We start from the raw sequence: 26,041 nt of genomic DNA, 5'->3' as shown, positions 1-26,041 counted from the left end.
ATGAGGTGCAGATTATCCAGTGAGCAGGCTAAGCACCTGCCTAGGGCACCAGAGCAGTGCAGGCCCCACAAAGTTGAGAAAAAATATTTGAAACAATGTGATGCTTTGGGAGAAAATATTAAATCTCAGAACTTTCTTCTACTTCGCCACACTTAATGCTACAGCTTCATATTGTTTTTTATCTGAACTGCACACAGGGGTGGCAAAAGGGCACCTGCCTTTTTGGGGTGCAGGGCCCTTATAACCAGTCCTCAGTAGGAAGGGCCACCATGGTCAGGAGCTCAGGGACAGATGGGCTCCTGATCTCCCTCCACCTCTGCCCAGAGCATTAGGAAAGACAGACACAGCCCCAGGAAGCACAGAGAGGCCCCTCTAGAGGCAGGCAGTCACTGGAGGCATGAGCAGCGCCAGTGGTCACTCTCCATGCCCTGTACAAGGTCCCCACGCCTGTCACCTCCAGGCCCTAGGGACCAAGGGCTCCCTCAGGATCCAAGCGTCAGGCCAGGCTCATCAGGGAACGATGGATCTCCTGAACCAACCTTACAAAAACCCACGGGCAAGGGAGCCGGGGCCCTGAGTCGCCCAGGAGGGCTCACATCAGATAATGAGGAATGGGTTTTACAAAGTAGCCCTCCGCCACAGCCCATGGTCCCTGTGGCCCATTATCCGAGCACTTGAACCCTGGATAACAATGAGTTCATAGAGAAGAAAGTGCTCGGCGTTAATTGTCTGTATTTAGTCACGCAAACAGAAGCAATGGTCTGAGAATGGCTGGTTAGCCGCTGACAGCCTCAGCTCCAAGCTGGCTCCGAGGAGCGGTTACAAATTGTTTTGATGGAGATTCTACCAGAGCAGTAAATTTCCTCTTAAACCTGCTTGCCTGGAACAAGTTCTCTCCCCTTGCTCCGTCTTCTCCTTTCTCCCCACTTTTCGCCTTAAATGAAATTCCTGCCGCTGCTAATATCCAACAAATAAACATCATTAAGAAATTGAAGGCACTGAAAGAATGTGTGGTTTATGTTAAATTTTCCCCTGTCAATCAATTCTGCATGTCTGCATGAAACCGATGATCGCATCATCATGTTAGTTTGCCTGACTTGTTCGGCACAAAGAAGGTGGGAACATTTTCTCAAGCAGGGATGTCAGCACTTGAAGAATCCATCACCATCTGTGCTCATTTTCTGAAAGGGAGAAAAACAACCCCTGTTTAAGAATACACCAGAACAAATAACTTGAATGTTTGAAAATAAACCACAGGGTCAAAGAAACTTTATAATGAAACGGGGAAGCAACAGTATTGTTCTGTTTTTATAACGCGGGGCTGGCGTACCTTCATTTGACACAGTCTTTGCTCCAAAAATAGATATTAATAATACCCACGGAAAGACCAGCACCATGTGAAATGCATGCAAACACGTTATACTAAAACCATCTAGCAAGGCCCTGGGAGAGACCTATGGAGAAGGAGCTCTCTCCTGCTCCCAGCTCTCGAACCCCAGGACTCTGATGGGGCAGCCTCTGCATTCATTCCACGCCACGCCTACCCTTCCCACTTGTCCCTGCCCCTCCCCACCCACTTTTCTCATCTGAAAGGCAATCAGAAGCCCCTCTAATCCCAAAAGACCACCACCCAGAAAAAGCCAAGGAAGGAAAAACTTTCATCACCAAACTTTTCGAGCAAAGCCGTCGAAGTCACCCTGCGACAGGGATGCAGAAGGGAGGAGGGAGACGTGAATGGAAACATTGTTCCACCCTTAATAAACTTATAAGCCAAGAGCATTTCGATCTAATTTTTCTTTCTGCATCTCACTATTGTACTTTGTCATGAGGAGGTCTCACATAAATAATGTGTTCTTACGAAAGTTTTTAAGACACCCAAAGTTGGACAGCAGTGTTACAAATGATGTCCGACACAAAGAATATCAATTAATCAAATGGTAAAACACTACAAGAACTCACAGCACACAAGTAGCAGAGGGAAAGATAAATTGATTTTTGCTGCAGCAGTGCGCCTTTTCAGCCGCACAACTGTGTGAAAAATACCAGTGAAAAAGTGTGCTGAGGCAGCAGAACCATTTAATACTCCACAAACAGTTATCTGAGGCAACGTCCAATAACCAGACAGCACAGTAATGTGACCTACATACTAACAAAATCATTTTTAGACATAGAAGCGAGTCCACACTGGCCCCCGGGATACCAGTTAGATAACCAGTTATCTCTTGCAACCTTCCCGGAACTTTGTCTTTGCCCCCTTTCCCCATTTCTACAGCTAAAATGTGTTATCAGAGACCATTCAGAGAGCAACCAGAAAGATGAAGCAAACATATCACTCCTTAAGTCATTTCATTCGCTTGGCGACCTCTTGAGTCTCTGCATTTTCATAGCTTTTTTGTTTGTTTTGATTCCCCTTACATGTCTTCTTTTGTGTCTGATGGACTTCTTGTCTTTTCCAGAACTTTTTTCCTAGACCAGGGTGGGAAAGTCTTGCTGTTGCCTGAGGACTCTTCTTCTCAGGACTCCTCAGAGATCTTGCCAAGTGTGGTTAAGTTGGGCAGGGGACAGGGCTGGGGGGACGCCACGAATCACACTGTCATTGAATAGCATCATAAGAAATTCTCAAGCGCCATTTTCTCCAAGCTGGCCTCATCACCAAAGATCTATCTCATGGACCCTTCACAGGAAATCATGGTGCTCCACTTGGGAACATAGCCTAGAGTGAGACCGCACAAAACACAGACTGCTGGACTCGAAGCAGAGCTCTGTGCGACCACAGAGTGACTTCCAGTGGCTTGCAGTTCCCAAGCTGTCTGGAGAGGAGCAACCCTTAGAACTTGGAGCCTTAGAGAACTCTCACTGGCTTTCCTAGCAGGCCTTAACTCCCTCTAGTAGCTGTCTATGGGCTACAGGAACCCATTTTTATGGAACACATGAGGACTCTGAGGACCTGAAAATCTCCCATCCCCTCCCTCACTGCCCTGGAGCAACAAAACCAAGATGGCGCCCAACTCAAGAATTTCTCTCCAGCTAGAGTTGAGTGCCAGCTTTGCAAGTCCTTTAAAAAATCTTCTCCTTCTAAACCTTTCTCCCACCCCATTTCAGTCTTCAGAACTTATGACTGATAATCCTCTTTGTTTCAAGAAAATCATGGTTCACATGAAAAAAAAAATGTTCACAAGATTACATGGAGAAAGCGCCAAGTCCCCCTAAAATAATGCCACAGCAATCAAGTTCATCTCAGTCCACATTGTGAGTATTTTTAGGGTAATGTTACCCTTTATGCACCAAGCTCACAATGACAAACCATACACTTCTGTCCCTGAAACACAGCAGATGGAATCCTGGATTCTGCTCTTGGTTCTAATGCTCACCTCCACAGGTGAGGGCTGACACCTCCCTTGAGATGTGCTACATAAGTTCTCCAAGATGTCACCAGCCATCAGCCAGAGCCCTTGTTAATACAGGCCTTAGCATAATGAATGGTATACTTTGCAGATTTCTGTTCCAGAAAAGAATGATTTAATATCATAAAATAAAGCTTCAGACCTCCATGCCAATTACTGTGTTTAAGTCATCGAAAGCCACCCAGGAAGGTTAGAGGAGCATGCCAGTGTTAAAGGAATGTGTAACCCATCTGCAAAGAGAGGCCAAGTTACGCTGCTTTCTGGGTAAGAAGAGCAACTCGCTAAAAGCTTCAACACAGTGAGAAGAAAATGTCAGGCACCACAACCTTATTGCATTGGCAATAAACACGAGCCAATAACTAAATCATTGTCGCCGGTTTTACTTGTGGGTCAGGCTGAGAAATACTGAAACACATAATCAAGTTCGGACTGTATTTTAATAGAAAAAGAAAAACGGTAGCAATCACAGCCCACTGAGAATGTTATGAAGCAGGAGGGACGTATCAGGAGAAGGGGCTCTCAGCAGAATGAACGGTTAGGGTGACTCTTGGGTGAATGTGGCAGACCAGGAACAGAGGAAAAAAAAGGCACATCTTCCTCATACCCTCTGTTAGAGCTCTCCTTAGAAGAGAGGAGTTTCCAATGAGGAAACAATGAAAAGCTAGAAAAATTAAAAGCATCCCTCATGTAAAGCCAAAGCAGGTGCAGAACAGATTTTTTTTTTTTTTTGCACGTCCTCTGGCCCTGGGAACAGTGCCCACCTAATCACCGTTCCCCCTGAACACAGTGGCCACGCCTCATTTAGCAGTGACTAGTTTTTCATTTCTTTTTAAAAAAGGCAATATTTCACATATCAATCAAAAAAGGGGGGGGAGGTATTTAAGTTATTTTAACATCAAGTGTTTTTTCAAAGTTATAAATATATGTGAGGGGACTAATTGTAAACTTCTCCCAGAAACCCAAATCCAAATTCATGTTGCCATGCGAATTCGAGATAATAAATTACATCCTTCTAAGTAAAGCATCCACTGTAATAAAACACCCACTCCAGAGAACTCAGAAGCCCTGATCCCAGCTAAAAGGATTCATGCCTTTAGAATTCTGGAGAGATATATATATATAAAAATATAATTTTTTCTGTCGGTTCCCTCAACTTCTCTCAATTACTGATGTTCTTTACATACTGAATTTTCTAGGGTTTGATGTGTGATTATGGCTATATTTTTATCTATATGTTTTGTGGCTCTTACACTTAAGCTTTTTGCTCACAAATCTTTTATTAAAAGTACTAAATTGTAAAAAGCACATTCATATTTCATTCAGTGTTCCATACAGAAATGTGAGTTTTCACAGCAAACACAGCTGCATACAGAAAGTTACCATAAAATAACATACCAGACTATAGATCTCTGCATTTTGAATGTTTCAGCTCAGAAGTAACTTTACTGGAACTATATTTTCCAGAACATTTTCGCCTTCTTTCTCAAACAAACTTATAACCAACTTTTCAATTTTCCAAATCAAAGTCGCAGGTGAAATATTCCCCTTGAATCTCATGTACTTTCAGGCAAAAGCCAAAAGCAAATCCAGAGACATTTCAAACTTGACAGCTTTCATTAGCTCTATCAACGTGTTAGAGGTAAGTGTGTTACAAACCCAAGACATACACATACATTTTGATATTGGTGTGTCTGTAGATCTTAGCTTGACATGAATAAGCAGAGAAAAGAGAATAATCTGACTGTGGGGTGAGATGGCTCAGATATTCAGCCAGGAAATAGGGTGACAGAGAGATAAGACAAGAGCCTTACTGAGTCCTGGGAATTCCAAGGTATTGATCCAAGGCAACAAAAGAAGAGAGAAACTCAAAGCTGAAGTCTGACCAGTGTAAACAAGCATCTCTTTACAAAAAAAAAAAAAAAAAAATTCTCTCCAGGGAATGCACACACTGGCCTGGTCAGCTAGCAAGCCACTGACCTTTTGAAAAAAAAAGGAGTGTAGAATTAAAACTGCCAATAAGGCAAAACAATTACTCAACACAGATTTCATGAGCAAATGAATAAATGGGTGAATAATGTGAACATTTGTCAGTTGCAGTCAGCATAATAAATGAATCTGATATTAAAATTTGGAGGGGGGAAAAAAACCGATGTGACCCTCTGTCAGATCAAATCACTAAATACGTCGGGAGGATCCACTCCATGCCTGGCCCAGGCTCTACACTGCGGGTGGACCGAGGGAGGACAGGGCGCCTGATGGCACAGTCCTTTCCTCACCCACGCTGGCCCCTCCTGCCGAAGCCCAGCCAGTGCCTACCAGGGGCCAGGGCAGATGGCTCCCAATCCCTGCCTTGGTCCCCCACCCAATTCTGCCTAGAAGAGTCCTTCAGGTGTTGAACAGTGGGCTCCCAAACCCCAAACCCCAAACCCAGATCTGGGGTCACCCTCTGAACCCAACCTTGGCAAGAGACTGTGGCCCAAGAAACACTCTCAGCCTCCAATGTTGGTGCCAGGGCAAAGCTGAAACAACCACCCCTGCAGCTTCTCAGTGATGAAGGGGGCTGAGGCTCAGGGCTATCTCAGGGGCTTAAAGCCAGGACTGCAGAGCAGCCTGAGCTGATTCTCCTAAGAACATTAAATACCCAGCTGCTCACCGCTCAGATCACACCTCCATTTGCCAAGCACTTGACTCAATTAACAGAATACTTTCCACCCCTCCCCATACACAGTGAAGTGTGCATTTTCCTTCCTTGTTTTGTACAATTGGGGAAACTGAGCCAGTCAGGAATGGGTTGAGGGTCAAGCGAGGACACTAGCTCCCCTCCCTTCCCACGGTCTCTCTTGCACCCACTCTTGCCCCTGCACAAGCTCACTCCTGGCAGGTGATCCCCTAGCCCAAACTCTATATGAGCTTCCTCAACTACTCAACTACAGTGGGGAACTCACACTGTCCAGTCCATTTGGGAAAACCAAGGCCCAGACAAGAGAAAATGCAGCCTCAGGCCCTGGAACTAATGGAAAGCAAAACCCTCAGCCTCCTGCCTTCCAAGCTTCAGCCCTCCTACTCCTCTCTGGGCTACTCCCTTGGGCTCTTAATTCTGCAGAACTTCAGAGGAGCAAATGAGCTGGGAAAAGAGATGTCTGCCCCAAGCAGTCTCCTCCTAAGAACAGGCACTCCTCTGACAGAGGCATCTTTGCAAACTGTCAGGAAGATGCAAATATGCTTTGCCCCTAGAACTTCTCTCCAGCCCAATCATGAGAACTTGGGCTGGTCCACCGTCCATCATTTCCCCCAGATGGTGCCTGCAGCGGCTAAGAGCCTGCAGGCTGAGTGGTCCACGTGGGGCAGTTCTGTGAGCCCCAGGCTTTCATCCTTTCTAGCACATAGCCACAGCCCTCTCCCCTCACCGCTTTCCTCCTGGACTTAATAGGAGCAAAGCACTGCTCAGGGACCCTACCAGGTCACCTCACCTGCTGGCCCCAACTGCCCCCAGAGCAGCCGGCTCTGGGTCACATAACTCACTAACTCCCTCCCATTTAGCTGGGGACAGGCAGTGGTTGGCCCCCGCAGAGGTCCAGGCCCAGGCTCCCCCTTGTTGAATCAGTGAAGTTAGGAGGGCAGGAGCTGGGCAGGAAGTTGGATTCTAGCTCTGCAAAGTCTCTGGACCTCAGCTTTCCTTGCAGGAGAATGGGATAACAACTTCAGCTCCCTCCCATCAAAGGCTTCTGGAAGGCTCAAATGAGAAAGCCTAAGGGACCTGGCCTTAAGAAGGATCCATCAGATTGTGTGTGAGCCCGGCTCCAATGGTTCGAGCTCCATTGAACTGGCCTTCGTCTGCGCCGTTTTCTCAGAGGAAGGCCTGAGATGAAGATGCAAATGCGGGCGGTTTGTGCAGGAAGTTTGTGCGAAAGTTTGTGCAGGAGGTAGTCCCAGAAAATGCCAGGGGATAGTGGGGAGGTGGGGAAAGAAAGGAGGCCTGTGCACAGCAGGCTAAAAAGTGCACTGCACTGAGGGCACCAGGCCTGAGTCCAACCGGGAACTCTTAAGACCCTGAGCGGGACTCCCCCACGCTGCTCCATCCAGGGAGAGAGGAGACCGCTGCCTACCCACCAGTCCCCATCCCCATCGACTGAGGGGTGCTCCAGAGGTGTTAACTCCCTGGCACGTGTGCTTGCCCCCATGACAGACTAGACACACACCAGTGACGAAGGACACACCCAGGCAGAGTCGTGGATGCTGGTGTGAGGAAGCCTCACCCTGAGTGGTGAGTGGCTGCCAAGGGGCACCGATAGTATCTGCTATCCCTGCCTAATAAAAAAGTGTCGGCTGGGCATGGTGGCTCATGCCTGTAATCCCAGCACTTTGGGAGGCCGAGGCAAGTGGATCAGGACTTAGAGACCAGCCCGGCCGACATGGTGAAACTTTGTCTCTACTAAAAATATAAAAATTAGCCGGGCGTGGTGGCCGGCACCTGTAATCCCAGCTGCTCGGGAGGCTGAGGCACGAGAATCCCTTGAACCTGGGAGGCGGAGGTTGCAGTGAGCAGAGATTGCACCACTGCACTCCAGCCTGGGCAACAGAGCAAGACTCCATCTCAAAAAAAAAAAAAAGTGTCAAAAAGCAAACAGGGAACCTGATTCCCTTTCAGGAAACAACCCCCCAGGCTGTCTGCTCTCCAGAGAAGCTAGGAACCTAGCTGATCACAGAAACCTGGAGGCAGCGCCAAGGCCCCTGCCCTGCACCTCCCGCACTGCCTCTCTTGCCCTGCCTCTCTCGCCATCACATAGAGCCTGCCATGGCCACAGATGCACCAGCCACCGAGCTAACTGGTGGGGTGACAAGGAAGGCGCCTGCCCTCCAGAAGCTGGGGTCATCTCTGGGAGATGGAGCAGGTGTATAGCAGTGGAGACACAAGGTGGTGTGCTCTGTCCCCATCCCAGGAGACCCTGGACACCAGCCGAGCCTCAGAAACCCATCACCCATCTAGGAGCTCCTGGGAGCTTCAAAATGCCAAATGGAGATGAAAACGTGTGTGCCTAAAATCCATTGAGCCAGAACCACCAATGCTTTGAGCACCCCTGTCTATGAAGGTTTTCTTACATTGATATTCTAGCTCCCAATGTCAGGAAAAATTATGTAAAAACAAGAAAAATGTCCCTGCCACCAGAGAGTTTATAGTTCAGCAGGGGGTAAAAAGGGATGAAGGACGTAAGGCCACCACCAGTCTGAAAGGGTCGTCTTCCCCTCCCTTGCCAGTCAAATCTGGTGCACTGCGTCTGCTGCACCCATTCAGGACATACTGATTGCTCTCTGCTTGCAGGCCCTGGGGGCAGTTGAGGGGTTTATCTGGAGGATTGGGATGGGGCTGACATTCTATATAGAGGGCCCAACAAGAGAAAATGCGTGGAAGGTGGAGGTGTCTGGAGTCCGTGAGACCAGCTAACAGGGCACAGACGCCAGAGGCTCGTGGGCTCACCCTTGGCCCTGTAGCATTGTAGACTCCCAAAGAGGACACTTTCTCTTGAGAGTGCCCCACAGACTGCATTCTAGAACTGAGTTCTTGTCCTGTGTCTGCTGTTCAGTGGCCGCATGGACCCAGACACCTGACTTCCCCTGTCTGAGGACCACCCGGGTCTTCGTGCAAATCCTATAGGATTCTGCATGTGACAACCCAGGTCACTGTGCAAAGCCACAGGCATTGCTAGGAGTTAGAAAGGAGTCAGCCCCAAAGACGCAGAACCATGGCTGTGAGTCCCAGGGCCTGCCCACAGCAGGCCCAGGATGCCCAGGAATCTGCTCCCAGCACGTTCCCCACCTGGCTGTGGCCTTGAGCCCTCCCTGCCGCAGGACGGACAGAGCCTCCCATCTCCCGAGGACTTGCAGCAGAGCAACACAATCTGCGTTAGGATTTCCGAGGAAGCTGTCCTCCCTTTTCCACATCATTGCACCAGTGCTCCATGCATCCTATTTTAGAACGACTTTCTCTGCCTTACCCCCAAACCTTCTTAATAGTGCTGGGAAAAAATATTATATACAAACAGTGATTATAAAAAATTATTTGTATACGTTGCTAAAACGTGCTCTACATCTTTATTTAGCATCATCTCTATGAAAGTATCTCAATCCTTGAGACCTTGACACTGGCTTTGCAGAGGCCTCTACACACCTCCCTCCTCAGTGTGCAGAGGTGGGGCAGATTCTACCTAGCCCACATCGGCACCTGGCAGGGACCTCTCTGCACCCAGCCTGGTAATTCCCCTTTTCCCTGGGCTTTTTTTTTTTCAGCATCATACATTATATTTAAGTCTCTCCAGCAATACAAATTTCAATTTGGCCAAGCTCTTTAATATTAATAGTTGTCAATCCAAATGCAGAGTGCATAATAAAAAATTTAATCGAAACGAATAGCTCACATATTTCTCTACCTCCTAAATATAGTTACCAATTAGACAAAAGATTCGGTTATATAACTTTGTAGAATTAAAGCCACCTACTAAGGACCACCAGTTAGGGCTGAGAAAGCTACAATGCAGATTGCACTCTGTCCATTACTCTTAAAGATAAAGCACATCTCACCTCATCCTTCCTTTCTTCCTAGGCACAAACTGTGAACACGGAATGTGCAGTCATGCAATTCGCAAGAGTTGTTAAAGCTAAATTGTAATCACAAAGTTACCCAGAGTGATAACAGAAGGGACCCAGGGCATCCCTTCTGTCGCCCTTTACAGCTAAAGCAACAGCGTCCGCATCGCCGCTACCCCATTTTGCAGACAGAATAACTGAGGCTCAGAGGCACAGTGCACGCACCTCAGCTTCCTATTTCCTCAGACATAAAATTATCATGTGAAGAGGTTATTTCTGTTTAATATGAGAAGTAAGTTGTCGCCGGTTTCCCTGCTCTATGCTGAGAACCCGCACGTCACCACTGGATCAGGGGAGCCTCAGTCCCCAGAGCCTATGAAAACGTCCACAGCCAGAATCACTTCCCAGGCAGGGCAGACACAAAAGCTGACTTTCCGTTGTGATGATCAGGGGCCTGATGGGGCGTCCCAGAACCACAGTTCCAGGGGCAACCCCCTGATGATCCAGCATTTTATGGAATCACTGAGCTGGAAAGGACCCAGCCTCTCCTATCAAACCCCATCCCCTCCTATTGCAGCAGCAGAAATAGTCCAGGGGAAGCTAAGAGATTTGACCAAGGTCATGGAGCTAGTTAGCGGCAGAGCTAGGACTCGAACCTCCAGACACACACACACTTGTGCACTCAGGCGTCGAAGAGTACTATAAGCGCTGGGTCCAGCCCTCGCCAGGCTCCCCCCGTTGCGATCATCCTGCCGGGTACCTGGGGTATTTCTTCGGCAAATTACTCCAGGCCTCTTTTGTGAGCTGCTCTGGGCTCTGCCCTGAGTTCCTTCACGCAGGAAGTTTAAATGAAATGGCTCCCAAGTTCCTTAAATGGTTTAATAAAACATATACTGACTGCAATGTGCAGTTTATAGTGGCAAACTATTGCCCCTCAGTTGGGAAAAATGACCTCCAGTCGGCAATATTCCTTTCAGCCTCATGATTCTAGTGTGCTGTTGCCCATTCCCTCAACCCACTGGGCAATTCTTTTCCATAACGAGGCTGGCTGCAGCCACTGCATGCACTGCGGCCGAAGGTGCCCAGTCTGTACCTCCACAGGGCCGGTTCTGTGACAAGACAAAAGAAACACCAGGCAGATGACAGTGGCAAATACAGAGGACAGGAAGGCTCCTGGAGAGCAAAGAGACCCCAGGAAATAAATGTAGGGGATTCAGAGAGATTTGGGGAAATTAAATGTGGCATGAAACGGAAAGCGCTGTGTGAATGTAAGATTCCTGTTCAACACCACCCAGAATTGGGATGGACAACAGGTTAATCAGATTCACCGGGGTGGGACGGGGGGAAATGCCTGCTCTTGGCATCTGCAATGGTAAGATTTAGAAAACTTGAGGAGGGTATAATATGAATTTCTAAAACTCTCCCACGCTCATAACAAATAGCTATTAATAACGCTTAATCACAAATGCCATTTCCAATATTTGGTGCCGAAAGGTTTTGCCTCGTCTGAAAAGTAGTGGAATTTGACTGCCAGAAACTGATGACCTTTTATCCTAAACTGTGCATCGAGATGGCTTGTTAAGCTCATTAGTATTATATGGTGAATTAGATTAGGCATTTTATGATTTTTCAAAAAAGGCTTTTTTGATATAAAAAAGCAGCAATTTCCTTTTTTGACATATTTCATTTTTAAGGTAATAAAAATGGCACATGTGTACCATGGCATAATGGATTAATTAAGGAATATTATGTTTATCCTAACTCTTAACCGAGTTGTACATCTTCATAACTCACTCATAAAAATTAATGCATTATCTTATACCATGGGATGATAGATCTTCTATTTTTACCAAACCTGCTCAGAATGCATTGTTCTAAATTGGATTATTCTGAGAACTAGTGAATGCCATATTCCAATATCATCAGTCCAAAATCATATTGTGATCTTAAAATTTTATATTATTATATATAAAATCTAAACCTTCTCCCCACTGTGGCTTTGAATTGCTGGACTCTTCTGGCTTTTGAAGGATCAAGCTACCCCCACCACCTACCCTCACAGGCAGCCTATTTTATATCTTCTCTCATTCACAATGGATTTGTTGTTTAAAAAACACATTCATTGCATCAAAGAGTCACTGGACAATATTTTTGGCTATCCCTTTGTGTCTTGATGGTAGATGTGAATATAAAAGAATATTCATGCAAGATTCATAAAGGCCCCAGATTTCTAAATCAACAGATGAAAAATCCCTAAAAATAATAATGTCCAGATGTTGCTTATTTAAATGAGCTGTTGCCATTTAATGTTGCCAATCACAAAAGTGATAGAATTTGTGAATTTCAAGGTATTCATAATTTACAGAGGATTATAATTTTTATCAAGGGAGCATCCAAGGTGATTAAAATCAGTGATTTCAATAAATACAAATGATTCTTTCACAGAGGCTACCTTTATAAACTTGGCCTCATACCACGAAGCCCACACTTTCACATTGTAGAGTCTTTTTCTTTCCCAGGCCCCCCCTTTGGCAGGGAATGTGACCTGCCAGGCCTAAAATGCAGATTATTTTTAATGTGCTACAACTTCAGAATTGGAGGGACTCTTAGAAGTCATATAGGGCCAATTTCTCTTACGGGTAAGAAAACAGAGCTCAAAAATGTTTGACCCAAAGTCTTGCAGCTGAGAAGTAAGTAAGAAGCTTCCAGAATCCAGCCTTCTGAGGTCCACCCACTAAAATTTAGGTTTAGTGTTACTATAATTCCAGGCCCACTGGCATTGCCAAAGGAGACTGGGAGAAACGAAGATTCCCAGGTTCCTTCCCAGACTGGCATACCTGCAGATATGGGGAATGGGAACCTACACCTGAAACAGATTCTCCCAGCAATCCTGAAACCATCGCTATAATGTATTCCTTGGTCTCAAGTCTCCTAGATACCAAAAAAGTTTCTTTGGTGTGAGACAGGATGAAGGAGTCAGCACACCGTTCTTCTGCAGTTGACAAAGATCTTTCAACAGCCCAGGATGCTGTAAAGATTCTGACCCCAACGCTACCAGCATTAGGAAACTCCCACGCAAATGGTCATCAAGAGACCTGTTCTTGGTTGCACATCCTCTGCACTGTATGGCAAAGCAAAGACAGGGTATGGTGCCTCTGCACAGCTGGTGATGGGGTGTGAGCCACAGGGGGACATCCTGGGCATACCTCCTATGGTCCAGTTGCAACCAAGGGTCTTGAGTCAGAGTATGTGGTGATACATCTTGAATTTCTAATGGGCACCTGGAATTAGCCCGCTATTCTAAAGGGAAGAGGGTACTGTAGAGGACCCGGTGGGATTCCTTAAAGAAGGGCATGAGGCCAGGCGAGGTGGCTCACACCTGTAACCCCAGAACTTTGGGAGGCCAAGACGGGCTGATCACAAGGCCAGGAGTTCGAGACCAGCCTGACCAATATGATGAAACCCCATCTCTACCAAAAATGCAAAAATTACCGGGCATGGTGGCACGCGCCTATAATTTCAGCTACTCGGGAGGCTGAGGCAGGAGAATCCTTTGAACCTGGGAGGCAGAGACTGCAGTGAGCCAAGATCGCACCACTGCACTCCAGCCTGGGCGACAGAGGGGGGGGGGACTCCGTCTTGAGAAAAAAAAAAAAAAGGCATGAAGTTTGTGGGGAAAATTTAACTCATAAAGGGCACGGTGCAAATCCAGGGGGCTCCTGCTGCCTGGCGCCCAAGCTCCCATGCTATACACATGCATAACAATACAGGCAGGTTCACTGCCTGGGATGTTCATTTAGTCTTGAGAAAGGGCTACCTGTGGGAGAATTTCCACCCCCAGCTCCTGGCCACTCGTTTACTCGAGCGGCCATCATTTCTACAAATCCTAACAATAATATCTGCATGCCTAGTCCTTCAAAGAGAGAAAGTCACTACATCCTGGTGCTACACTGAGGAAAAAATAGAGTTCTGACCACCCTTGATAGGTGACACCTGTGTCTCTGCTGGGGAAAGAAATTCATCTCCCTTCTTTCAAAATGCAGCTCCATTCAAGAACATGCCAGCCCTCTGAATTGAATGTTCTTTTTAAAGTTCAGTAATAAAACCTTCAAGGGTTCAAAAAGAAGTGGCTTAAGATCAAACGTGGGCCATTAAAAAAAGCACTTAAGTAGAAATTCTGTTAAACTGGATGTAAACTTTCCCCCACGTACCATTTCCAGGCATACGAAGGGATTATATGGTGATGAACCATATGAACCTTTTTTAGATGTAAAAGGACTTCAGGAAAAAGGTGCCTGGTACTGATCACAGTAGTTTCCAGGCCAGCCTTTCCTTAAATGCATCTCATTTAAGTTGAAGATGGAAGTGAAGGGCAGATGCTTGGGCTGCAGTCGGACTGAGCTTCAAGACTCTTTTGAAAATCTCTTGGAGGAGGAGGGAGATGTTTTAGGTACAGGGGAAGCAGCACCGTTCTGGCCACTGGAAGGGTCTTCCCTGGCTGGGGCCTCGTGCCTGATCGTGGAGCATCTCAAACACCTCATAGGAAGCTTTTCTTCTGGAAGTTTTACTCTCACCTTCCCCTCTCCACTGCCAACATCAGCTGTAAATACGGAGGCGAGGCCCAAGTCCCATGAAGGGAACCCAGGGAAATACACAGGTGACAGAGGGTGGCTCCCATGAGGGCGAAAGGATGCTGCCATCCCCTGGCCACCAGAAGGACCTAGATGCTGCTTGGAAGACCACACACCCATCTGTGCCTCCCTTCCTCCAACCAGAAGGCTCGCAGCCTCTGCCCCAAGCACATTAGGTGACCAGGGAGAAGAACCAGCTTTTGCATGATGTCTCAGCAAAAACCTGCAGCTTTGGACACATTTTAGGCTCCCTGGGGGTAGAGAGCAAGCTGAGAGCTGTCCAAGCCAGCCTTCCATGGTTAGAGATGGCAGCCACAGAAACAGGACCTGAGCCCTGGAGAGATCCACCCACCCTTCACCCCGGCTAGTTCACAGAATCTCCTCCCAGACCCCTCTGCACTGTCAAGAGCCATACAAAAGGGTTTCACCCAGGAGGAACCTCCCTGCCCATTTTCCCCAGGATGTCTTGGCCAACTGGAACTTTGACCAAGAAGAGACAGCCATGGTGACATCTCCTGAAGCAGCCAAAGGCTCTGAGTTCTGTCACCTGGCCCAGGTAGTGGGTTCTGGGACCTGCAGGGCTGACAGGGCACTGTTCTGCTCTCTTCCCAAGACACCAACAAGGACAAAGTCTTCCCCATGACATTCCACTGCCCTTACCAATCAGGGAATCCTACTGCCCTTCCACCTCCACTGCAGCTGCTTTCCTGGACACTGTCAGTCTGGAAGGTAGCATCAAATACTCATCTCTGAAATGGGATAATGACAGTACTTATTATATGAGGTCACTACAGAATTAAATAAGATCATGCATATAAATGAGCACGGTGCTTGAAGCCCAGTACACAGTCATTAGGTGCTAGCAGCTGCACACATTGGATTTCCCCGCAAGCTAACCTGCCCTGCCCGACACTGGTCTGGGCCCCATGGAGGCCTCTGGACAGGTGTGAACTCTTATATGCAAGAGGGAGCCAGGAGTTCAGCATGGAAAACACCTCCTGCAGGACAGGGCAGTACTAGGAGCAAACACGGCCACATCTGGCAACAAGAGGGACCAAGGATCCTGCCTGCTTTGCCCCTCAATTAAAGAATGAACATTCACCATTCCCATGATTAAAAGTCTTGCCTTTGCTTCAGAGGTTTTCAAACATTTTTTTCTACCCACATTTTTTTCAAGTGAAAGTTTTCCAAGGCTGCTCACTGTGTAAAACAGATGTGCACGGAATGACCCCAGAGGCAGGGCTCTGCGTGTCCTGGAGCCCCCAGCTCCCACTCCCTGGAGGTTTCTGCTTCATGAATATCCACTGGGAGGGGATTACATTAGACCAGTGGTTCTCAAAGCAGAGTCCCTGGGGCCGCAGAAACAGCATTGCCTGGAAATTTGTTAGAAATTCAAATTCTTGGACGATACCCAAGACCTTCTGAATCTGAAAATGTGGGTTGGGGCCCAATGTTGTTTTTTCAAAGCCCTCCACGCAATTCTGACACCTGCCCAAGTTGGAGATCCACGACACTACCCCAGCCGTTCATACCTTGGCTACAAGCCAGCAGACAACCTCCCCACCCCCGCCTCCAATCACACTGTTTCCTGTAGGGCAAGTCCTGATTTGATTGGCCTGGGAGCAGACCTAGACATTGGCGGGTCTTAAAAGCTCCCTGTGTTGTTATAATTGATAGCCAAGTTTGAGAATTATCCCTCTAGTCTCTTGCTACTCAAAGTGTGGTCCAAGGACCAGCAGCATCAGCATCTCTTGGGAGCCTGTTAAGTATGCAGAATCTCATTCCCCTAGATGTGCTGAATCAGAATCTGCATGCTACCAAGACCCCCAGGGCTCTGTGTGTACATTCCTGACACCCTGGTCTAGGTCATTCTGTTTAAGACCTACAAAGAAGCTTAGACACCCACCCTTCAGGTAGCAGCCTGCAGCTGCAATGGCCTGAGGCTCTCCAATGTCACCCAGGCTGAGGACTGCAGATAGACATCAGAACCAGCCTCCTCACTCCAAGAGCAGCACTCCTTCCCACACCTATGCAGCCTCCATCTATGCATGCCTGCCTCAACCTCCCTCACAAGCTTCTCTCAGCCTTCAGTCCCTGTAGGAGTAGAGGGAGGAGTGCGCCCCACCTAAGGAAGCAGGAGTTGAGTTTGGAGGGTCAGGGCAGGTGTATCTTGTAAGAATTCCGCAAACTTCCAAAACCTTCTCTAGGGAGTCTGCCACTCATGGGGGCATTGGCCACCCACTGTCTTGTTACTGGAGACCTGATCATATTTAGGATGTCACATTTCTAAAAACATTGAAGTCATGTTTAAATACACACACACACACACACACACACACACACACACACACACATATTGGGGCCTAGAGAGGAGAAACAGAAATTTGGTGAATGATTCCCACATATGCCATACTTACATTTTTTAACTGTCAATATTGTCTCAAGTTATATTCTGTTGAGGAATAAAAATTATTCTGTTGAGTTCAGCTCACTCAAGAGCATCATTTTGTACTATTAACTGTTTTCAGACATGAAATAATACACACACATCCACATTAGAAAAACTTTATTATTTTCTTGCAGTATTGCAGGAAGAAAATAAAAATGACTTGGGGGTAGGGAAAATTCAACACATGCACCCCTTCACGGCCACCTCAGCAAATACACGTGCCTCTACCTCCCCAGCTAAAACTCCCTCTCCTCTGGGCAGCAAGCTCCTCTGTGTTGGGGGCCACACCCCACCCTCTAGAGCTGAGCACAGGGACCCTCAATAAATGCTTAGCTGCTCATTGGCAAGAGATAGTGAAAGACAGGGACCGTCGGAGTAGAAGAGTCAGGGAACTCAAGGTCAAATGAATTTGTGGCCATGTTACCACCACCTGCTGGGCAACCAGGCAGGCAGAGACCAACACCAGGTCAAGACCCAAACTTCATCTTTAAACAGGAAAAAAAAAATCTAATAGCTATCCCTATTTCCAAAATGTATGGGCATAGGTTATCACATACTTCTCCTGCCTCTTCTCAGGCACAAAGCAACTGCCACCCTCACCCCTTCTTCCAGTATTTAGCAAGCACCTACTAAGTACAAGCCCCTTGGCTCAGGCAGCGCTGCACATTTTCAAGGATGAAATGCAAACTCCAAAGTCATTTCTGTCTTTCTTGCAATGTGCTAACATGCCGATCACATTATCATCCTGCAACTCCGATTATCGTACTTTCCTTTGTGCAAAATGAATCGAGCCAGAAAACTCTAAGGGTAAGAGTCCAGCTCTGCCAGGCCTAAACCACAGCCAAAAGTTCATGAAAACCACTGTTGTGCCTCACACTGCAGCCGCGTGAAGCCTATTGTTGAAATACAGTAGTTACTGGGGGCTGGCAGGCGGGGGGAATGTCGTGCATTCCCAAACATAAAAGGAGAACCACAATCTCTTTGCCTGAGATAGACGCAAGACCAGCCATTTCCTGCAGCCCCCAACATCCCCTAAGTACTTGGGACTGATGGGTGATTTCCATAATGCACAGAAATATGTAAAATCAATTAAGACTTTTCTCCCGTGGAAGAAAGAACAAATAACTATCCACGCTTTGTCCTCTGTATCAAGAAATATCAGAAGGTTCCTGGTACCAAGTCCACACATCCTGGTGGACAGAGAGGGTGGCGAGAAGGGGAGGAGGCAGAGAGAGAGAACTAACCACTCCCTCATCAGTAACAACGAACCCACTGACCATCAGAGCCCGAGAGGCAAAAGGAGTGCCCAAGACAGCCTCTGGGAGATGGGAGAGCAGATCTTTACATTTGGGGAAAAATGTGTTGGGGTGGGCCAAAGGTATCTACACTACGATTCACCCCAAACAACATGCGATCCAAAGAATGAAGGAGAAGGAATCAATCAACAGCTTCCCTTGTAGACCCTGGCTTACTTTCCTCTCGGTTATGGAAATAATTCACTGTTTTAATGCAAGAAGAAGTTATTGATTGGTTTGGCTTTTCTTCTAATCCTGAGGAAATCCTGTGCGTGTTGACATGCCTGCATCCTAAAACTATCTCCTTCTTAGAGTTGAAAGCTCATCTTGCCATGCAACATAAGGCGTGGGTCTTAGAATTTCAACATAAGAAATAAAGGAAAGCTTAGCTCACCTAACATCTCCTTCCATCTTCATTCTCTCCCTCAATTGGCTTCCTCTCCCAAAGACAACATCACATCTTTGTATAATTACAATTTTTTTTTTCTCAACTAGGACCTGACCTCAGGCTTACTAAAAACACCCAAAGAAGTCCCCTAGAGGCCTAGCAGTGGCTCATGCCTATAACCCTAGCACTTTGGGAGGCCAAGGTGAGAGGATCGCTTGAGGTCAGTGGTTCAAGATCAGCCTGGGAAACGTGTCTCTACGAAAAAATACAAACAAAGTAGTGTGATGGTGCATGCCTGTAGTCCCAGCTACTTGGGAGGCTGAGACAAGAGGATGGCTTGGGCCCAGGAAGTCAAGTCAAGGCTGCAGTGATCACACCACTGCACTCAAGCCTGGGCAACAGTGAAACCCTGTCTCAAAAAAAAAAAGAAGAAAAAGAGAAAAAAAAAAAACAGTTCCCTAGAAACAGCAATCTTCAAATGATTTTGTTCATTTAATATGGTAGTGAGGAGTGCAAGATTTGGAGTCACACAGACAGGTACATGTGTCCTGGTTAGGTAACATGTGACTTGTACAAGTTACTTATCTTTGCTGAGCCTCAGTTTCTGTGTCTGCAAAATGGATTAGAGAGGAGGTTAAACAGATAAAGCATATAACACTTACCATAGGGCAGGATTGGCAAGGGTTTCCCATAAAGTGCCAGGTGGTAACTATTTTAGGCTTTGCGGGCCACACAGTCTCTGTCTCAACTACCCAACTCTGCCTTTGTAGTGTCAATGCAGCCACAGACAACATATAAACAAATAGGAGTGCCTGCATGCCAATAAAACTTTATTATGGGCCCTGAGATTTAAATTTCATACAATGTCCCGGTATCACGAAATATTATTTTTCTTTTGATTTTTTTCAATCATATAAAAATGGAAAAGCCACTCTTAGATCATAGGCCATATGAGAACAGGCAGAACCATACTAAGAGCCACTGCACACCCATGAAGATGGCTGCTAGCATAAAAATGGAAAAAACAAGTGCTGGCAAGGGTGTGGAAGAAGTGGAGGCCTGGCACGCTGCTGGCAGAAATGCCAAATGGTGCAGCCACTATGGAAAACAGTATGGCAGTTCCACAAAAAATTAAACATGGAATTACCATAGATCCCGCAATTCCACCCAAAAGAATTAAGAGTGGGGTCTTGAAGAAACATATAGGCCCAAACAAATTTACAAGAAAAAAACAAACAAACCCATCAAAAAGTGGGTGAAGGATATGAACAGACACTTCTCAAAAGAAGACATTTATACAGACAACAAACATATGAAAAAAAGCTCAACATCACTGGTCATTAGAGAAATGCAAATTGAAACCACGAAGAGATACCATCTCATACCAGTTAGAATGGCGATCATTAAAAAGTCAGGAAACAACAGATGCTGGCGAGGCTGTGGAGAAATAGGAATGCTTTTACATGGTTGGTAGGAGTGTAAATTAGTTCAACCATTGTGGAAGACAGTGTGGTAATTCCTCAAGGATCTAAAACCAGAAATACCATTTAACCCAGCAATCCCATTACTGGATATATACCCAAAGGATTATAAATCATTCTACTATGAAGACACATGCACACATATATTTTTTGCAGCACTATCTACAAAGTAAAGACTTGGAACCAACCAAAATGCCCATCAATGATAGACTGGATAAAGAAAATGTGGTGCATATACACCATGGAATACTATGCAGCCATAAAAAAGGATGAGTTCATGTCCTTTGCAGGGACATGGATGAAGCTGGAAACCATCATTCTCAGCAAACAACACAGGAACAGAAAACCAAACACCACATGTTCTCACTCATAAGTGGGAGTTGAACAATGAGAACACATGGACACAGGGAGCAGGACATCACACACCAGGGCCTGTTGGTGGGTGGGGGGCAAAGGGAGGGAGACCATTAGGACAAATACCTAATACATGCAGGGCTTAAAACCTAGATGATGTGTTGATGGGTGCAGCAAACTACTATGGCACATGTGTACCTATGTAACAAACCTGCACATTCTACACATGTATCCCAGAACTTAAAGTAAAATTTTTTAAAAAAGAAACATATAAACCCACATTTACAGCAGTATTATTCATAAGAGTGATGAGGTGGAAGCAGCCCAAGTGTCTATTGATGGGTGAGTGGATAAACAACATAGGGGGCCGGGTGCAGTGACTCATGCCTGTAATCCCAGCACTTTGGGAGGCTGAGGCTGGCAGATGATTCGAGCCCAGAAGTTCAAGTGCAGCCTGGGCAACATAGAAAGATCCCATATCTACAAAAAAATTTTTAAATTAGTAGTGGTGTGCACGTGTAGTCCCAGTTACTCAGAAGGCTGAGGCAGGAAAATCACTTCAGCCCAGGAGTTCAAGGCTGCAGTGAGCTATGATCATGCCACTGCACTCCAGCCTGGAGAACAAAAGTAAGATCCTGTCCCAAAATAAAAGAAAAGCGAACAAAAAGTAAAATAAAATGTGGTATATACATACTGTATAGCAGAATCTTTTTCAGCTTTAAAAGGGAAGGTAATTCTGTCACAGGCCACAATATGGATGAACCTTGAGGACATTCGACTAAACAAAATAAGCCAGTCATAAAATGTTAAATACTATATGGTTCCATTATATAAAGTACCTAGAGTAGTCAAATTCACAGAGACAGACAGGTGCATAGTGGATGCCACGACCTGGAATGGGTAGGGAGAATGGGGAGTTATTTAATGGGTATAGAGTTTCCGTTTCAAAACGTTCTAGAGATGGGAGGTGGTGACAGTTGCACAGTGATGTAACTATTTAATGCCACTGAACTCTAAACTTTAAAATGGTCAAGATAGTAAGTTTTATATTATGTGTATTTTATCGCAATTATTTTAAATTTTTAAATGTAAAACAAAAAACCCAACACACACAGGCAGTGTGCTGGATGTGACTCACAGGCTGTAGCCTTGGCATAGAGGCATAAGAGCAACGTAACAAACACCCCTAAAAAATGAGCGGGATAGGCATTGGGGGTCATATGAGAAAAGAGGGCTCAGAGGCGACTGAAGAAAATTCCAATTCACTCACAAAAGTATTTACCAGGCACCCACTCTGGAGCCAATAATCATCCAGGCATAGACACAGAAATAAAGAGAGAAGCACCCCTGGGCCTCATGAGCTAACCCTTGCATCCCATGTGTGGCCATCCAGGGGAAGTCGGCCTGTGCACATGTGCAGGAAAGCACGGGGGCCCCCGGGGTGGTCCGGCCTCTCAGGCACTCGCATGGCTCATACGTGGAGGTATGCCCTCCTTGGAGTGGTCAGTGATCTTGTCAGGGACAGAAAAGTTCAATGACTACAAGGGTGAGTTTAATTATATGTTGTCGCTGACTAGCAGTGGTTACGATGGTACAATTACACATGTAATTTATCAGCAAGATACTTGCATACATAATAAACCAAAAACAAAACATTAAATTTCAGTGGAAGCTAAAAATATAAAACCGGGCCATGGTGGAAAACAGTCTCATTTGTGAGGGGGTGGAGGAGAAAAACCACAGGCCTCCCCTCCCTTTTAAGGGCTGGCTGTCCCCACCCACCCACCATGACCACGTGGCATCCATCTCAGAATGCGTTCTCCAAACACCAAGCAAATCCCAAGCCCCCAGTGATGTGTCAACAATGCTCCTTCACAAAGGAATGGGATGGAGAAGTTGGCTTAGGAAACTCACCACCCTTTCTGACATTCTCTGAACTTGCTAACCAAGGTCCCAAGGGATGCTGGAAAGACCACATGCCTAGCAACATCTTGGGGTTCCTAGCACTGGTATGAGACTGAGAGGAAAAGCCTAATTATCTGAAAATGGCCTACATTTTCATTAATCTTGAATAAAGATGGAGAAAGGGGGAAGGATGATGGAATAGAGGAAATGAAAATAACAACGGTGCCATGCTTGTACTAAATGCCTACTTTGAACCAGGCAGTGTTTTAAGTGCATCACACAGTGTAATCTACCAGACTGTCATGTTGTTCCCAATTTACAGATGAGAAAACTGAGGTGCAAGTTCCTTGACACTGGGTCAGACAGCTACTGAATGGTGGAGCCAGGGTTCCAACCCAGGAAATCTGCTTCCAAAGCCTATACCTTTGCTATGCATTGTCAGACAGAGAGGTCATTTATCTTTTTTCTTCAGTACATTCTCACTGGTACTGCTATGATGTCCATGGTACTATAGTTTAAAAGTCAAGGTGAGGTAACTTGGACCACTCTTATCACTGAGAATAAGTTTTCCAATAGATGGGTACATTGCATACACCATGCCAGAACTTGGGAACCCCACTCCCCAGAGCCTCAGCCTATCCCCTCAAGACAGCTGACCTAATAGGACTGAGCAGTGGCAAGTCCCACAGAGACCAAGTCATGGCAGGGCTGAAGAGGACACACAAAAATCTCCAGAAGAACATGGAATATAGTGCAGATTGCAGAGGTTTGCCCAGGAGACGGACATCCAGTCACGTGGGCAGGAAGTCCTTTCAGCCTCATAAATCCCTCATCCACATCCTACTTTGAAAGAGATCATCTTCGCCTACGTGACCTCCACGCCTTCAGTCCCAGTCATCTGTGTATGTGCCCTTGTGGATTTTTAAAGACATTTTTATAACAGGGTGGTTTTCAGTTCACAGAGGTTGCCTAGCACAGTTCTAGACATAGTTTTTCCATTTTAAAACACTAGACTAAAAGAAAATGCCTTGTTATAACTGATCATTAGATTTTGAAAATAAAGGTTTCAAAAAATGTTTGGGAGGCCAATGAATGAATAGATGGTAAAAGTGAGATTTCATTTGGATCAATGAGCCCAATATTCTAAGGTACATGTTAGGGCTTGAGATAGAGACCCATCCATCCACCCACTCATCCATTCATCCATCCATCCATCCACCATCCATCCATCCTCCCATCCACCCATCAACCCATCCACCCATCCATCAATCCATCCATCCATCCACCCACCCATCCAGCCACCCACCCACCCATCCATCCACTCATCCATCCATCCATCCATCCATCCATCCATCCATCCACCCACCCATCCATCCACCCACCCATCCATCCACCCACCCATCCATCCACCCACCCATCCATCCACCCATCCATCCATCTATCCATCCATCCATCCATCCATATACCCATTCATCTATCTACCCATCCACCCACCCATCCAACCACCCATCTATCCATCCACCCACCCATCTATTCATCCATCCACCCATCTATCCATCTATCCATCCTCCATCAATCCACCCATTTATCCACCCATCCATCCGTCTATTCATCTATCCATCCATCCATTCATTTATCCATTTATTTATGCATCCATCCATTCACCCACCCATCCACCCATCCATCTACCCACCTACCCACCCACCCATCCACTCATCTATTCATCCGTCCACTCATCCATCCAGCCATCCATTCATCAATCCATCCATCCATCACCCTACCCACCCACCCCTCCACCCATCTATCCATCCATCCACCCATCTATGTATCCATCCTCCCATCCATCCATCTAGTCACCAAAGCTTTATTGAGAAGCTATTGTGCATCAGGCACCATTTCAGGAACTGAGGAAATCACAAGGAACAAAACACATAAGCCCCTACCCTCACCACTCTTACGTCGCAGTAGGAGAGACAGACCAGAAACCAGTAAAGGAGTAGGTCACTAAAATGCTTCCTGCACCAAATAACACGATGGATTCCAAATCTTCCTAACACAAAGGTAAATCAGAGCCATTTCCTCATTTGCTGTTATCATCAAGGATCAGTTGTAAAAACAAGCAAGAGTGTCTCATATGGAAATGTTAACAGTACAAAACTGTATTCCAATGTGGCAGAATTATCTAAGGGCAAATACTGCAGGCAATATTTTTATGACAGAAGCTTTATTCCTCATTATCTATATCCTTGATTTAAATATATACATGTATGTGGGTGCACACGTATCAAGATTCAAGTATTTCAATATAAATTTTGTATTCAAAATACTTTTCCTGATTTCAGTTGATTGCATATTTCGAGCCAAAGTTGCAGCAGTAGTTTTTGTTCCAAATCAAAAACAAGGATTTCTCTCTCTCTCTGTCTCTCTCCTTCTCTCTCTCTTTCTCTCTCTGTCTGTCTTTCTGTCTCTCTCGGTCTCTCTCTTTCTCTCTCTCTCTCTCTGTCTCTGTCTCTGTCTCTCTTTCTCTGTCTGTCTCTCTCTCTCTCCTATGCTCAACAATCTCTCCTTGCTCCCCCACCCTCTAGCCCTAAGGAGCCCAAATACTCAAGCTGCCTTCCAAGCTGAATGGTACCAAGGGCAAAACCTGTTTCTTCCCATTTATTTTTCTGTTGAAGGTCTCTGGGGCTGTGAGGACTGTGGTGCTGGCTGAAGCCACATCACACAAAGGCGCCGAGATAGAAGGACAAAACTTCCCACTTTGATTTGAGCGTGTAATTGTTTGAATACATCTCGCCCGCACTACAATAATGTCATCCTTGGTTGACACAGATTTTAAAGCCCTTTGAAAAGGTGGAATGTTATCAATCATGAGCGTGATTATAATGGGATTTAAGTGGAAGACGCTAAGATTCAGGCCCTCGCTCGGGCCAGGCTCATGGCAGAGGAGGAGGGAGAGAGGAGGAAGAGGGCTGTATTTCAGCCAAGGAAAGGATGCCCTGCGTCGTCTTCACCCACACATCTTCTCTCCCAAAGCCAAAGACTTCCGAAAAAGCACCATGGAACTCTGGAACTCTGACAGGAATTCCCCGACATGCCAAAAATATCTGCTCGTTTTCCTATAGGTTAGACCAACAAGAGATGATTGGGCCCCCCAGGGGACATATGGTGATTTCTGGAGTTATTTTGATTGTCACAATGGAGGAAGTGTTGGTGGAGGCATGCTATCAGCATCTAGTGGGCAGAGACCAGGGATGTTGCAAACATTCTGCAGTGCACGGGAGGGCCCCGCAACCAATCGCTATCCAGTCCAAAATTTCAATAATGCCAAATGTGAAAGACCCTATGTCAGACCCAGAGAGGCTTGGCCACAGCTAGAGGAGTGGATGGGTCAGAGAGGGGCATTTCTGGGGAAGCGGTTTAAAGCCACTTCCACTGGCTCGGCTATACCTCCGATTCACTGGCAGACAGAAGCAGGTGACAGAGGGGAGGAAAAAACCAAATTGCTTCCTACTTTGCCTTTCAATCTAAAACACACCTTCCTTATTATGCATC

At 46.2% G+C, this 26,041-nt stretch overlaps 1 protein-coding gene across 42 annotated transcripts in view; it reads right to left on the bottom strand.

Moving 5' to 3' along the window:
- ZNF536 (zinc finger protein 536) overlaps positions 1-26,041 on the bottom strand; it is a 487,995-nt gene that overhangs the window by 402,066 nt on the left and 59,888 nt on the right. For 9 of the 42 annotated variants that reach the window (XM_047439770.1, XM_047439779.1, XM_047439781.1 and 6 more), the window contains exon 3: positions 15,278-15,366. The exons of 32 other annotated variants lie outside the window; for them this stretch is intronic. The gene's annotated coding sequence lies outside the window, so the exon portion shown is untranslated. Of the gene's footprint in view, positions 1-15,277; positions 15,367-17,034; positions 17,070-26,041 lie in introns of all 42 variants that reach the window. One more of the 42 variants, XM_024451807.2, reaches the window with a different exon arrangement.

The sequence above is a fragment of the Homo sapiens genome, chromosome 19 (assembly GCF_000001405.40).
Source record: "Homo sapiens chromosome 19, GRCh38.p14 Primary Assembly".
Classification (NCBI taxonomy): Eukaryota; Metazoa; Chordata; class Mammalia; order Primates; family Hominidae; genus Homo; species Homo sapiens.
Note: the sequence above shows the minus strand (reverse complement) of the source record. Positions and strands in the feature narration are given on the sequence as shown.